This window comes from Homo sapiens, chromosome 4 (assembly GCF_000001405.40).
Source record: "Homo sapiens chromosome 4, GRCh38.p14 Primary Assembly".
Lineage (NCBI taxonomy): Eukaryota > Metazoa > Chordata > Mammalia > Primates > Hominidae > Homo > Homo sapiens.
In genome coordinates, this window is record NC_000004.12 from 149,199,632 (window position 1) to 149,212,567 (window position 12,936).

At 34.6% G+C, this 12,936-nt stretch overlaps 1 long non-coding RNA gene across 1 annotated transcript in view; it reads left to right on the top strand.

The window, feature by feature from the left end:
* LINC02355 (long intergenic non-protein coding RNA 2355) overlaps positions 1–12,936 on the top strand; it is a 123,829-nt gene that overhangs the window by 45,337 nt on the left and 65,556 nt on the right. The window contains exons 3-5 of the long non-coding RNA NR_125887.1: positions 2,732–2,925; positions 4,262–4,521; positions 5,276–5,583. This is a non-coding gene — a long non-coding RNA (long intergenic non-protein coding RNA 2355). The remainder of the gene's footprint in view (positions 1–2,731; positions 2,926–4,261; positions 4,522–5,275; positions 5,584–12,936) is intronic.

Below are 12,936 nucleotides of genomic sequence, written 5' to 3' on the forward strand. Positions count from 1 at the left end.
AAGTTTTACGGATGGACACTAATGAGAAAAAAAATTGTTTTAAATATATAAATTTATGGGGCACAAGTGCAATTTCATTACACGCATAGATTGTGTAATGGTCAAGTCAGGGCTTTTAGGATGTCCATCACCTGAATGATGTACTTTGTACCCATTAAGTAATTTCTCATCCTCCACCCCCTCAGCCTTCCTAGTCTCTATCGGCTATCATTTCACCCTCTCTATTCATGTGTACACATGTTTTAGCACCTACTTATGGGTGAGAACATGTGACAGTTGTCTTTCTGTGTCTGACTTGGTTTTAAAAAAAGTCTTGGTTTAAAGATCTGAAAAAAAAAATAAGTGCAGCTGCTGACACTTTTGGGACAGCCTCACAGGTAAGAAAAGAGTAAGATGACAACAAAAATGATTACTTAAAATTAGGTAGAATTGGATTTGAACATTAAAGAGACTTGCAGAAGAGATATTCTGAGGCATAATAAACAGGCATATTTATGTATTAATCTTTATAAGGTAACTGTTTTCCCTTTGTACATTTGGAAAGAAAGTTTACTGGCAGATTTATTAGCAGATTTGTGGTATTTTGTCTTATCACTTGGAAGGCATTCATTCCAATCTGCAAAGGAATGCTTATTTTCCCAGTATGTGCTACATTTTAACATCTTTACAGTTCACATTCTAGGTACATTCTACGTTCTATATGTGATCTATGTAGTAAAGATGAAAATGTATTGTAACATTTGATGCATTCATGAGAAATTCTATATATCATGGAAGTTATTTATGTAATTTACTGAGACTAAAACAGATACAATTTATTGCCAATTTAAATTTTTACATAAGAAAAGAAAATATGTGCAATTTGCAAAATAGTTCATAAAAGCTGTTAAATTTGACACATTTCCATGGCTTGCATCAATCAATCATGGATTTTTTAGTGCAAGCGTTTTCAGTCTTATACTCAGTGAGTACACAACAATACATAAGGCTTATTTTTCTTCTTCTTCTTATAGTTATCTCATAAATCTGTCCAAAGCAATGCATATTTGAAAACATTTTCCCCCATGGTAAATGTGTGAGAGTAGCAACACAGCAATGTTTTCATTTTTTTCTCAAGATTCTACTTAATATCCAAAGCATTCATATGCAAATATTAGTGAGCCAAACGAAGAGGGTGATTTCACAGCAGTGCTTGCTAGATTCTATTTTGCTGAATAAGAATGAACAAAAACCTAAAGGCTGACCCCATCAACTCCTCCCATGGAGAATAAGTGTTCTTCACAGATAGTGTAGGGGCCCCTTACCTGTGACAGTTTCTAGAACACAAGAGGCTTAACCACTTTATTTAGTACTTTACTCAAAACATTAACTTAAGAGAAAAGCTGCCAGTCCTGGGGAGGAGGCAAGGATAGGGATGGGCAGAAAACCAGAGGTACCAAGTCCAACCTGATTCATTTGGCAAAGCATTCCTTGGCTGATATTAATGACAATCCTTTTCTCCATCTGCTATTAAGCTTGGGCAGGATGGAATGGATGGGATATTGGTAGGGTTGCAAGATTTAGCAAATAAAAACACAGGATGCTCAGTTAAACTTGATTTCAGATAAACAATATATAATTTTTTCAATGAATGAATATTTTTCAATGATCCAAGATACAAATTTAACTGGACATTCTGTAATTTCCTCAGCAGCCTTAGATGTGGGGAGAGAGCATGGACAAGGACAAGCTTGTGAAGAAGAAAGGAAAAGGAGGCGCATGATAGCCGAGGTCATATCACCATTCCATGAAAAGCCTCTCTATCAGTCCCTATCTTGCATAATTTCCCCTCTCCATCACTATTTCAGGCCCATGTTGAATATTCCCCATGAATTCTGAGAATCTCTTATACTCTAATACAAATTTGAAAGCCTTATTTGAGATAAGAGCCACAAATGTACTTTACTACATTTTGTTATCCAAACTGTTTTTATGTGAGGCTAAGTTTTGTTGAAACCTCTTCCTGATGACCATACATTGTTTTAATCCTTCAATGGACATAACATTCCCCTCTTGTGAACATAGTTTGTCTTCCGCAATCTAGAAATAATTGGTACAAATGAGGAGAGGAGGCATCCGAACTGCCCTGAGCTGAATGCTTTTACATATGCCAAATGCTTTTGCAAAATGTCTCAAAAAATTTAACTCTCCTCATAAACCAACACCTTAGTTTTACTTCTCCAAAATGCACTTGTTGCTATTACATATACAATATGTATTTTGGACAACTCACTCAAGGCTGTTGCTACAACAGGATTCTTAAACTCATTCCAGCCAAACTTTATAAATGAGGAGAATGTTGACCATCCTGGCTGATAAGATGATAGTACACCTGGGAATCTCAGTCCAATCAGCAATCTAAATTGAGTTTGAACTTTGTTCTGCATGCATCTGTTTCACCTATCATTAGTAGGACCAAGTGGAGTGCAGGTCAATGTTTAGAGACATCCAAAGTAGGGTCTATGGTCGTATTCATGTTGGAAGCTAGAGAGTTAAGGAGAAGCTCTTCACCATTTCTTCAATGAACTCATGCTTTGGCTCTCCCCCATGCATATAGAAAGCAGCTCACATAAAGAGTGAGTGCATGATGTGATCTCATCCTGTAGTTGGACATTACTTTGTTGGCTCCCACACTTAAAGCAATTTGAATTTCTCAGCAGCCATACATCACCAGTTTTGACAGAATTTGCAGGTTTGTTCTTTACTCCCAGCCTAATGGATGAAATGAAACTTGGTGAGCTCCCAGAGTTGGACAACCTTCAGAATGCTGAGACATACTAAATGAAGGAAGAAAGTCCTTTTGTGAGTTCTCCAAAACTCAGACCTCCCAGTGACTACAGCAAGGTCCTGTTGTTTCAGTGAAAAGCTGTTCAACTTGGTGAACCAGTAAGTGATCTCTACAGTTACAAAAACTTCTGAGATTCCAGAATCCTTTGCTCATCCCTTTTGTTTCTCCAGGCAAAGAAAATGGCATTTTAATAATGGCACCTTCACTAGTAAAATGACTTGCACATGCAAAGTAGATTCTCAGTGAATATTTGTTCATTCCTGATTATCACTAAGAGAACAGACACATTATAAAACTACTTCAACTTGTTCGGGTTAGGATTTTTTGTTTGGAGTTTTGCTGTTTATTAGTCCACTTAGTTGAAATCCCATCTTAATGCCCTTTGATTAAGATTGGTACAAGATTAATAGCTCCAAATCTATTCTTGTTGTGTCTGTATATTTATACTGGCATCAAACAACACAGTTTTCAATGAATGACTCTTCCAATATATCAGTTAGATTTACTATTTCAGATGGAATTTTAAAAATCTGTCTGAAATGTACAGATTTCTTACTAGTATACTCTGCTTCTTAGCAGACAAGAAATAGCATACAAACATCTCATATTTATTTTTTATATCCTATAATTTTGACCTTGCCTCTGATAATGATTGGTATGTAAAAATAGAAAAGAGCTATTGCCCCAGATAAAACAATTTTTTAAATGCTGACAGTAGGGTTTGATTTTAGATTGGATGCTGTTTTTTCTTCCTCAAATAAAAATCATATTAAGTAGGAAATCTAATAAACATCCTAATGGGGTGAAAACATTGTTTCTCATAATTCAGCTTGCTTTCTTTACTTATTAGTTAAGCTCAGCCAGGATGGTGGGCAGGCTGGCATGGAATTGATGTGTCTTGATGTATTATGAAACATTACAGCTGAGCTCTACAGCCTCTGGGCAGAGGTCAAGTGAAGGTGGAAGAGATGATTTCATGCAGGCTCCTGCCAGAAGCTTGATATCTGATGTCGACTGCTGACAACAAGCCAAGTGAATTCACTAAAGTTTGGACACTGTACAACAAGTTTGGTGCCTCTTGTGACTGTGTAATTGGTCTATGCACTCAAGATTAGACTATTTATAAACACTGAGGAATTTTCAGGGCAATACAAATTTCACTACACATGAACAGAGGTGCTTGGCAGTATTCACAAACAATCCCATTGACCGACTCTGAGGTGTACATGTTAAGACTAATAAATATAATTGGCCCCATGCACTTTATATGAAGATAAATTTTAGTGTTAAACGTCATCCTTCAGATAAAATGATCACCTCTGTCAGAATAATTTGCTTCCTTATTTGCATATTGCCTGTCCACTCCCACATGAGAATATAAAGTCCATGAGCCTGGGGACTGTTGTCTGTTTTGTTCACTGCTGTATTCTCCAGGACAGAGAAGAGACCCTGGGCCGTAAGAGGCTTTAAAAAATATTTATCCAATGAATGAGGAGTGATGGAAGTGAAGAACACTAAACTCAATTTAGTGGTTACCACTGCATAAAGGAGAGAAATAAAACTGCAAGAGGAACACGAGGCACCACCTGTATCTGCAATATTGTGTCACCATAAGAAAACTCTGATATAAAACATGCCAAAATACTGAGCTCTGGCAAAAAACAAAAAGCAAACAAATTCAGCCACAGCTAAAGGTATGACATTAATAAATAGTTTGTACAACTGGTTAGAGCACATGCTATGCAATTAAAAATTATATATGGTTTCAATTCATACAGAGAAAAAGGCAGAATTGTTTTTCTTCTTGCTTTGTCTTTCAGGTTTATTTATCTTAAAGTTAACTCTTATCAATTGTGTTTATGACTCGATTTAGTTACAAAGGTCATCAGAACTACCTTTTTAATTGCTTAATTTATATAATATCTTTCAGATTGAAAATTATAATTGACAGTTTCAGATTATGTAATATAGTCAAAGGTTTAATATTTATCTGTAGATTTGGTCAGTTTAAATTATTGAAGCCCATAGTGACTTGAAAGTCCAAATTCTATATGAAAGTACTTAATTTATTAAATTGAGTAAATTATCATTTTACTAATATTAATTAACTAAATTGATTAAATCATTTTAATTCTATCTTTTTTTCATAGCTTCTTTCAAAGACAACATCATTTGAAGTCTATAGAAAGCTTCTTGACACATATTACATTCTAGATTCTATTCATTTATAAAAATATATCTTCTGTCTCTTGGATTATACATTATATTTTTTATGTTGAACATCTTTCTATTGCTTTTCTAAATATGGCAATGCCAAACAATAAGCAGACTGAAAATATAAATGTTTAGTTTCATGTATTGGCAATGGCATGTTTAGAGCTAAATTACTTCATTGGCAAACATTTAACTGTTGAAGATCTTTCTCCCTTTCTGTCTTCATCTCTCCAGGCTCTGCATGAATTCTGTGGTCTCTATAGGAAGTAGTAAAATGATCTATGGTACCCCAAAAGCAGTCTTCAGGGGATTTCACAGAGCAAGTATCAGAACATGTTACAACTCATTTCTAAGGAAGTTCCTCTAAACTTCCTGTCTGTACCATAAACCATGGTCTGCTGGTCTCCTCTTCATTCATTCATTCATTCATCCAAGATACTTTCTGGATGTCCCTGTCTTCAGGAAGAAGGGCTTAATAGTGGAATGTTATGTGGGCATTGCCACTGGACAGAAACATTCTTCTCTTTGCATAAAGTCACATGGTAAGCATAACCATCTCCCTTTCCATCTTTTGAGATTCTATTTTACTCCAGTGGGATGACAATAAATGAAGAGAAAAGGATCCCCCAAAAGTCATGCAGAAAAAGAGTTTTAAGATTCTTAGAAGGCTGTTCAATTCATATGTTATTTGAAATATCCAGAGAATTTGTGGAAGATCCTTTCTATGGCTTTTCTTGAATACTTTTGAATAAAACTCTTCTTACCCAAACAGGCCTGATAGAGTTTCTTATTTTATATGCCTTTGCTCCTAATGTGCCTTTTGGCTAGAATGGCTTTACCTCCTCTGCCAGATGGAATATGATCCATCCTCCAAGGTTCATTTTAAATGGAACCAAATCCCCTCTTCAAACCCTTCTCTGATTCTTCTGGCAGGAGTCATTTCTCCTTCCTCTGAATTTCCTTAGCTTCTTTATTTACTGATATGATGACCTTTAGACATTTTCAACATATATAATAACTATGTGTGGGCTTCAGATGATAAGTTTTTGGGAAGGAGGGGGTATTATTTATCTTTGAACTCACCACCTTTCCCAGACAAATGTTTTGCATGCACTAGGCTGTCAATATATGCATGCTGAATACTAATTGAATATTATCTCCCTCTTTTCCATACAAGGAAGAGCTCAAAAATTACAGTTTGCCAGCCCATCTTTTCCCATCTCCAGGTAGTCTATCTCCTTTAAAAATAAAAGGCTGGAGAATCAGCCTATCTAAAAAACAAAACAAAACAAAACAAAATCAACCCACCACTAGTAATGGCAGCTATATACCAGATGTTACACCGTCTAAGCTCGAGGAATACAGCTAACCTGGTTTCCCAGGAATTTCAGCATTGTTGAATGCTTGACTCTGCATTAAAATTCTGAACATCAACATTAAGTGGCTGATTAGTTAACTGATTGTTCAGATTCTTTAATCTTCCTACCTGTTTCCCTGTTCTGCTTAACCCTTAGGTAAAATGTGGCAACAGAAAAGCTGGAACTAAAGCTCTGACCAAAGAATATCTGGGGAAAGAGAGTGGATGGATTAAAATGATAGTTTCACTTTGAATTACTTGTGTATTTTGATTATAAATCAAATTTAAATGACAAATATCCCAGTTAGACCTTCCACTTAAGTAATTTTAATTTATCTGTACTTGGTTAGTTTGTTTTCTGGACATCCTTGTCTAAACATGGTGTAATCTAGGGCACCAGATGTAATTTTCCTTCTTATGTACTTCACTAGCCAGTGTGTATTGTGCTAGATCATTTTTTCTCAAAAAAAAAAAAAAAAAAACTTCTTTCTTCCTTATGGGTGAGAAGTCATATCCAGGTCACATAATAAGTTAGTGTTAGAACTCAGCTTTGGTATCTGGGTTTTCCGTTTTCTAAATCAGAGCTTTATATATGTGTTAAAAAGCCAGATGCCATTAAATATCAAGCTCCTTTAGGGGACATACACACACACACACACACACACAGATTCCATGAGCAAATAATTTAACTACAGTGGAATTTTTTCAGAAAAGATCTATTACCCAATGTAAGAGAAATAAGTAATAAGATAAATGTAATAGATTTAAAATAAAGGTACGGAAAAGAGTCTGGCAGTTTGTCAAAAGGGTAAAAATAGAGTTAACATGACCTAGCAATTCCACTCCAAGGTATATATTCAAGAGAAAACAAGTAAACAAACATATACCTAAACAAAAATATGTACATGAAAGTTCACAACTGCATTATTTGTAATAGCCAAAAAAGTAGAAACGACCCTCATGTCCATCAATTGATGAATGGATAAACAAAATATTGTGTCTTCATACAACTGAATACTATGTAGCTAGCTATAAGAAGGAATGAAGTACTGATGCATGTCACAGCATGCATGAACCTTGAAGACATTTAGGTTGAAGACATTTACCTTGAAAATATATGGTCTGCACAGAAGACCATATATTTTATTATTTTATTTATATGAAGTGTCCAGAATAGACAAATCTGAAGATTCAGAAAACAGTGCCTGCCGATGGTGGGGGAGGGGCTCAGGGCTGGAGGGAAATGCGGAGTGACTGTAAATACATATGAGTCTCCTTTTGGGGTATTGAATATGTTCCAAGACTGACTGTGGTGATGGATAGTTGTTCAGCTTTATGAATATACTAAAAACCATTAAATTGTGTACTTATTTAAATGGGTAAATTGCATGGTCTGTGAATTATATCTCAATAAAGGTGTTACATACATATTTTTAAAAAGGTGAGCTTATAGGGGCTTAATATTCATTTATTCATTTATCATTCACTATTTTATTCATTCATGTACGCACATGCACTACCCCAGATTGGCCTTCTCTGACATTGTCACCTCTCTACCTCCATCTCTACCTCTAGACTGAGAATGTCCTCACACCACCCCTCAATTATCTTTCAGAGCATATGCCACATTTCTAATCATGCTGCAGTCTTTATGACAAAGGATCTCACCTATTCTGATCACTGATGTGTCTGCAGTACCTAGTATAATGGGCATGGCTCATGAAAGTTGTTTCAATTACCAAAATATGAAATGTTGCATACTATTAATAAATGGGAAGACCCTAAAACATCCTAAGAGATCAAATAAATATAATTGTATGAATGTATACCTGTTAATAATAAAAAGGAAGAGCAGAAAAGATTAATTTTCTTTCAGTTGGAATTTAATCCCAAATCATCCAAGTTTATATAAACCATGCTTGAGATCAAAAGAGATCATAGCTGGATTTCAAGGAGAACATAATGTTCTTGATATCATGTGCAAAATTTTCTTGGTATATCTACTTTCTCTAGGAGATTATACATATTTGTTATCAAATTTTTAAATAGTAAAAGAGCCCCAAGAAGCCACTGCTAGATCTTGATCAAAAAGGCCCCAAATGCAAGTGAAATTCAGTACATGAATAGTCCACCTTTTCACTGTCTCTAATCCAAAACCAATTCCTATTGATAATAACACTTAAATATAAACTGAATAATCCCCCATTTTTATTTCTACTTCCATTGCTTTGTCTCTGGCATTTGCAGTTTCCTGCCTAGACCATTGTAACCACAGCCTAACTACTCTCCCTACCAGCAGCAGAGAGATGCTCACATTCTTCTTCAGCGAATTAGTAATTCACAGATGCCATGGCAAATAAAACCCTTGAGTGGCTAACTACAGTATGCGTATCTGCAACTATGATTGCTTTACTTTTTCTTTTTTCAGTTAGTACATATAAAAGAGATGATCAGACCCCTATGAACAAAGACCACGATTAATCATCTTTATATTCGTGTCTGGAACATAGTAGATGTTGTATAGTTATTTGTTTAGTTGAATGGATCTGTCACCCCCAAATGCCTAATATATGCTTTGTATATGAGAGAGGTTTAATAATGCTAAACAAATGAATGGTATCTCTATATGCTATATATTCACATAGATGCATATTCTATGTGTTCATTATTTAGTCTTTCTCTTAAAGTCCTCCTTGGGTGGGGTAGGAAAGCAAAAACCTTGAAAACAGCAGGAGCCTACTTCTACATACGGTGCTTTAAGAAACTGATGTGTCTTAAAACCAAAGCAAATCCCATTAACAGAATAAAACCCTAGTATACACTTACAGTGCTGAGTAGATGAAATTTAATGGAATCCTGTAAGTAGCTACCTTGAAATTGCCATCTTGTTCCAAGAAGGTTTCTAGATTATTTTAGTATTTTTATGTAAATTTATAATAACTTGAATTCTAAAAGCTGTTTTATCAAGGATTTTTCCACTGTGTAGAGTTAGCTTATTAGGTTTATTCCATTTTTCTCTTTCTTGTAAAGCTTTAACACATATTTAGTTATGACCTAATAAAGACCTTGTACAACAAAACATACTGATGCTCAAGTAGCTGCTCTATTGTGGTGCCATAGGCAGTACAAAGGGCTTATTTTGTTCCTGCTTCTGGTTCTGTGGAGGCTCATAACCAGAGGCATTTAACTCAGATAGCTAGATCTACTGTGTGTCCTTTGGTAGACAATAAATTTTCAAAAGAGGGGGTAAATGCTTAGATTTTAAAAAGTCCAACATATCATTATAACTAAAATATACAGATGAAAATGCATTTTAAACCTTTAAAGAGCATAACTGTGTTAGGTTATCAGTGTCCAAATACCTTACATTATGTTATACACAATGAGCAATTGCACAGCTCCAACTTCCAAAACAACATTTAGCAAAATGAATCCCCAGAAATCCATCAACCACAGAAATGTGCTTCTCATGTTCTCTGGTGGCACTTCCCTTCCTGGTACCCTAGTCTTTCCATTCAGCCATTAACTAACTATTGGCATTGGGTAAATCTTTGAGGCTTGATTACATCATCTTTTGTAAAGAATCTAGAGTCTTTATTTGCATTATAGTCATGGGGGTTGAAGTAGATGAAGTATTGAGGCACTTTCTGGTTGCTAGGTCTAGTAGTCCAGAATTTACCCAGTATTCTCAGGCTAAATAAGTCCAATTTTAAGAAGATAAAGATAAGTCTATGCATGCTCTCCCGACTTCATTTTGTGTTCATGTTCAGAATCTACTTCTACAATACCACAATAAGCAATTCAAGCAAAGATTACCACTAGTCTCACTATTCAAAGTCTAATGGAAATTGTTAACATTTAACTACATTCTTGTTTTTAAATTTCTTAATATTTAAGGTTGTTTTGCATTTCTTTTTTCTCCAGCTTGTGGGATATTTCACATTCTAGTGTTCTTCCTTTATGTCAACTCTTCTTTCTCAACTTTGTTGCTGGCTCCCCTTCCTCTCTTGGCTACTTACATATTAACATCTATTCCACACCCAAGCAGACTTTCCCTTGGCCTTTTTCCTCATTCTAAATGTTACTCAATTGTGATCAGATTCATTTCCATGAATGAACAAATCACCCCAAATTAATATGCTGTAGGTATTTCCAACCCAACAAATTTTAAATTAGATGAATCCTTTCCTTCAAACATAGACCTATTAAGAGGTCAAGTACTTTACCTCTTAGTGTTAGTAGTTTTCTGTTGCTTGTAATAGAATACCTGAAATTAGGTAATTTAAAGAGAAAAATAATTTTTTTCTTACAGAAATGGAGGCAGAAAATTTCATGGTTGATGGACTGCATCAGGTGATGGCCTTCTTGCTGATGGGGACTCTGCAGAGAGTTCCCAAGCAGCACAGGGCATCACATGACAAGGGAACTGAGTATGCAAGCTCAGATCTCCCTTCCTCTTCTTGTAAAACCACCAGTCCCACTCCCATGATAACCCATTAATCTAATAATCTAGGAATGAATTAATCTATTTGTGAAGGCAGAGCCTTCATGTCCCAATCACCTCTTAAAAGCCCCACCTCTCAACACTGCCACATTTCAACATGAGTTTTGGAGGGAATAAACATTCAAACCATAGCAATAACTAAGTGATTTTGAAAAAATTGGAAGAGTATTACAAATAACAGAGCTAAAAATGACTACTTAACAAAAATTTGGGTATACATAATTGTTAAAGCTGATATTGAGAGAAGTTACACCATTGCTTTTCAACAAAACACTGTTTAAAACCACTGTTCACAGAATGCTGGCATGATGAACTTTGGGTCTGACTCAAGACGAAAACTCCTGAATTCACAAAAAAAATGTAATTATATGGTTGGTATTTTATATTGTGTAAAGCAACAAATTTTCAACCCAGAATCCTGGGAAAGATCCCATTTCTAGGTACTGTATATAAGAATCTTACAGCTGGGGTTGGAATATCAAAGAAAAAAGACTAGGGGTTTTTAATCTAGTGTGAAAAATGCTTCAGATGTTACAATTATATGTCATACAAGAAAAACATATATGCATTTGAAATTTTAAATAACATTAAAGAAAGACTTCAGATTTTTATGTTTAACTAGTAGCACTTTGTTTTTTGAGTCATTATGCTTGGATTTACTCTTTTGGCATTGACACCTGCATTCTTCAAAGCTTCCTTAATCAGCAGGATTTCAGAATAAAATTAATTCTTAATTATCTGTAGTAATGGAGAGCATAAACAGAATAGAAAACAAAATAATACCAGTGAAAGTAAGTATTTGTTCCTCAAAATGTATCGAATTTGTTCCTCAAAATGTATCAAATATCTAAATGTATAAAACAAAACCATACAATTTTTAGGAGAAAACATAAATGTAAATCTTCTTGACTTTGAATTAAGCAATGTCTTCTTAAATATGATACAAAAAGCACAAATAACAAAAGTAGATAGAGATAACTGGACTTCATTGAAATTAAAAACTTTTGTACATCAAAAGACACTATCAAGAAAGTAAAAAGAAAACCCACAGAATGGGAGAAAAATCTTTTAAAATTATATGTCTGATAAAGATCTAGTATCTGGACCATATCAAGAACTCATAACTCAGCAATATAAAGAAAAACAACCCAATTAAAAATTTGTCAAAGTATTTGAATAGATGTTCCTTCAAAGAAAATATACAAATGACCAATTAGTAAATGAAAAAATGTTCAACATTATTAGTCATTTGAAAAATGTAAATCAAAACCACAGTGAGATTTGAGGTACCACTGAACACTATTTCCTATATTTATGTATAGGAAAATAACAAGTGTGGTAGGGATGTGGAAACACTTTCATATATTGCTGGTGAGGCTATAAAATGATGCAGGCACTGTGGACAACAGTTTGGCAGTTACTCAAAGAGTTAAACACAGAGCTACCATATGATCCAGTAATTCCATGCCTCAATATATACCCAAGAGAACTGAAAGCATATGTTCACAGAAAAACTTATACTCAAACATTTACAGCATCATTATTTATAATAGCCAAAATGTGGAAACAATCCAAATGTTCATCAAATGATGAATGGATTAACCAAATGTGGTATATCCACTTAACAGAATATGATTCAACCATTTTAGGAATGAAGTACTGATGCATTCTTCCACAAGGATGAACCTTGAAAACATTATGCTACGTGAAAGAAGCCAGTCACAAATGGCCACTATTGTATAATTCCATTTATATGAAATGTCAACAATAGGAAAATCCACAGACACACAAAGTAGACTAGTGATGACCAAGGGACAGTGCATATATGTGGTTTCTCTTGGAGTGATGAAAAAGCTCTGGAATTAGATAGGTGATTGTACAATATTGTGAGTATACCAAGATCAATTCATTGTATATTTTTAAAAGGTTAAAATGATGAATTTATGTTACGTGAATTTTTTGTCAATACAAACATTACTTTCAAGTAATTAGAATGTTGTATTTATTCAGCTTTAGAAGGGAATCAGAAAGCTC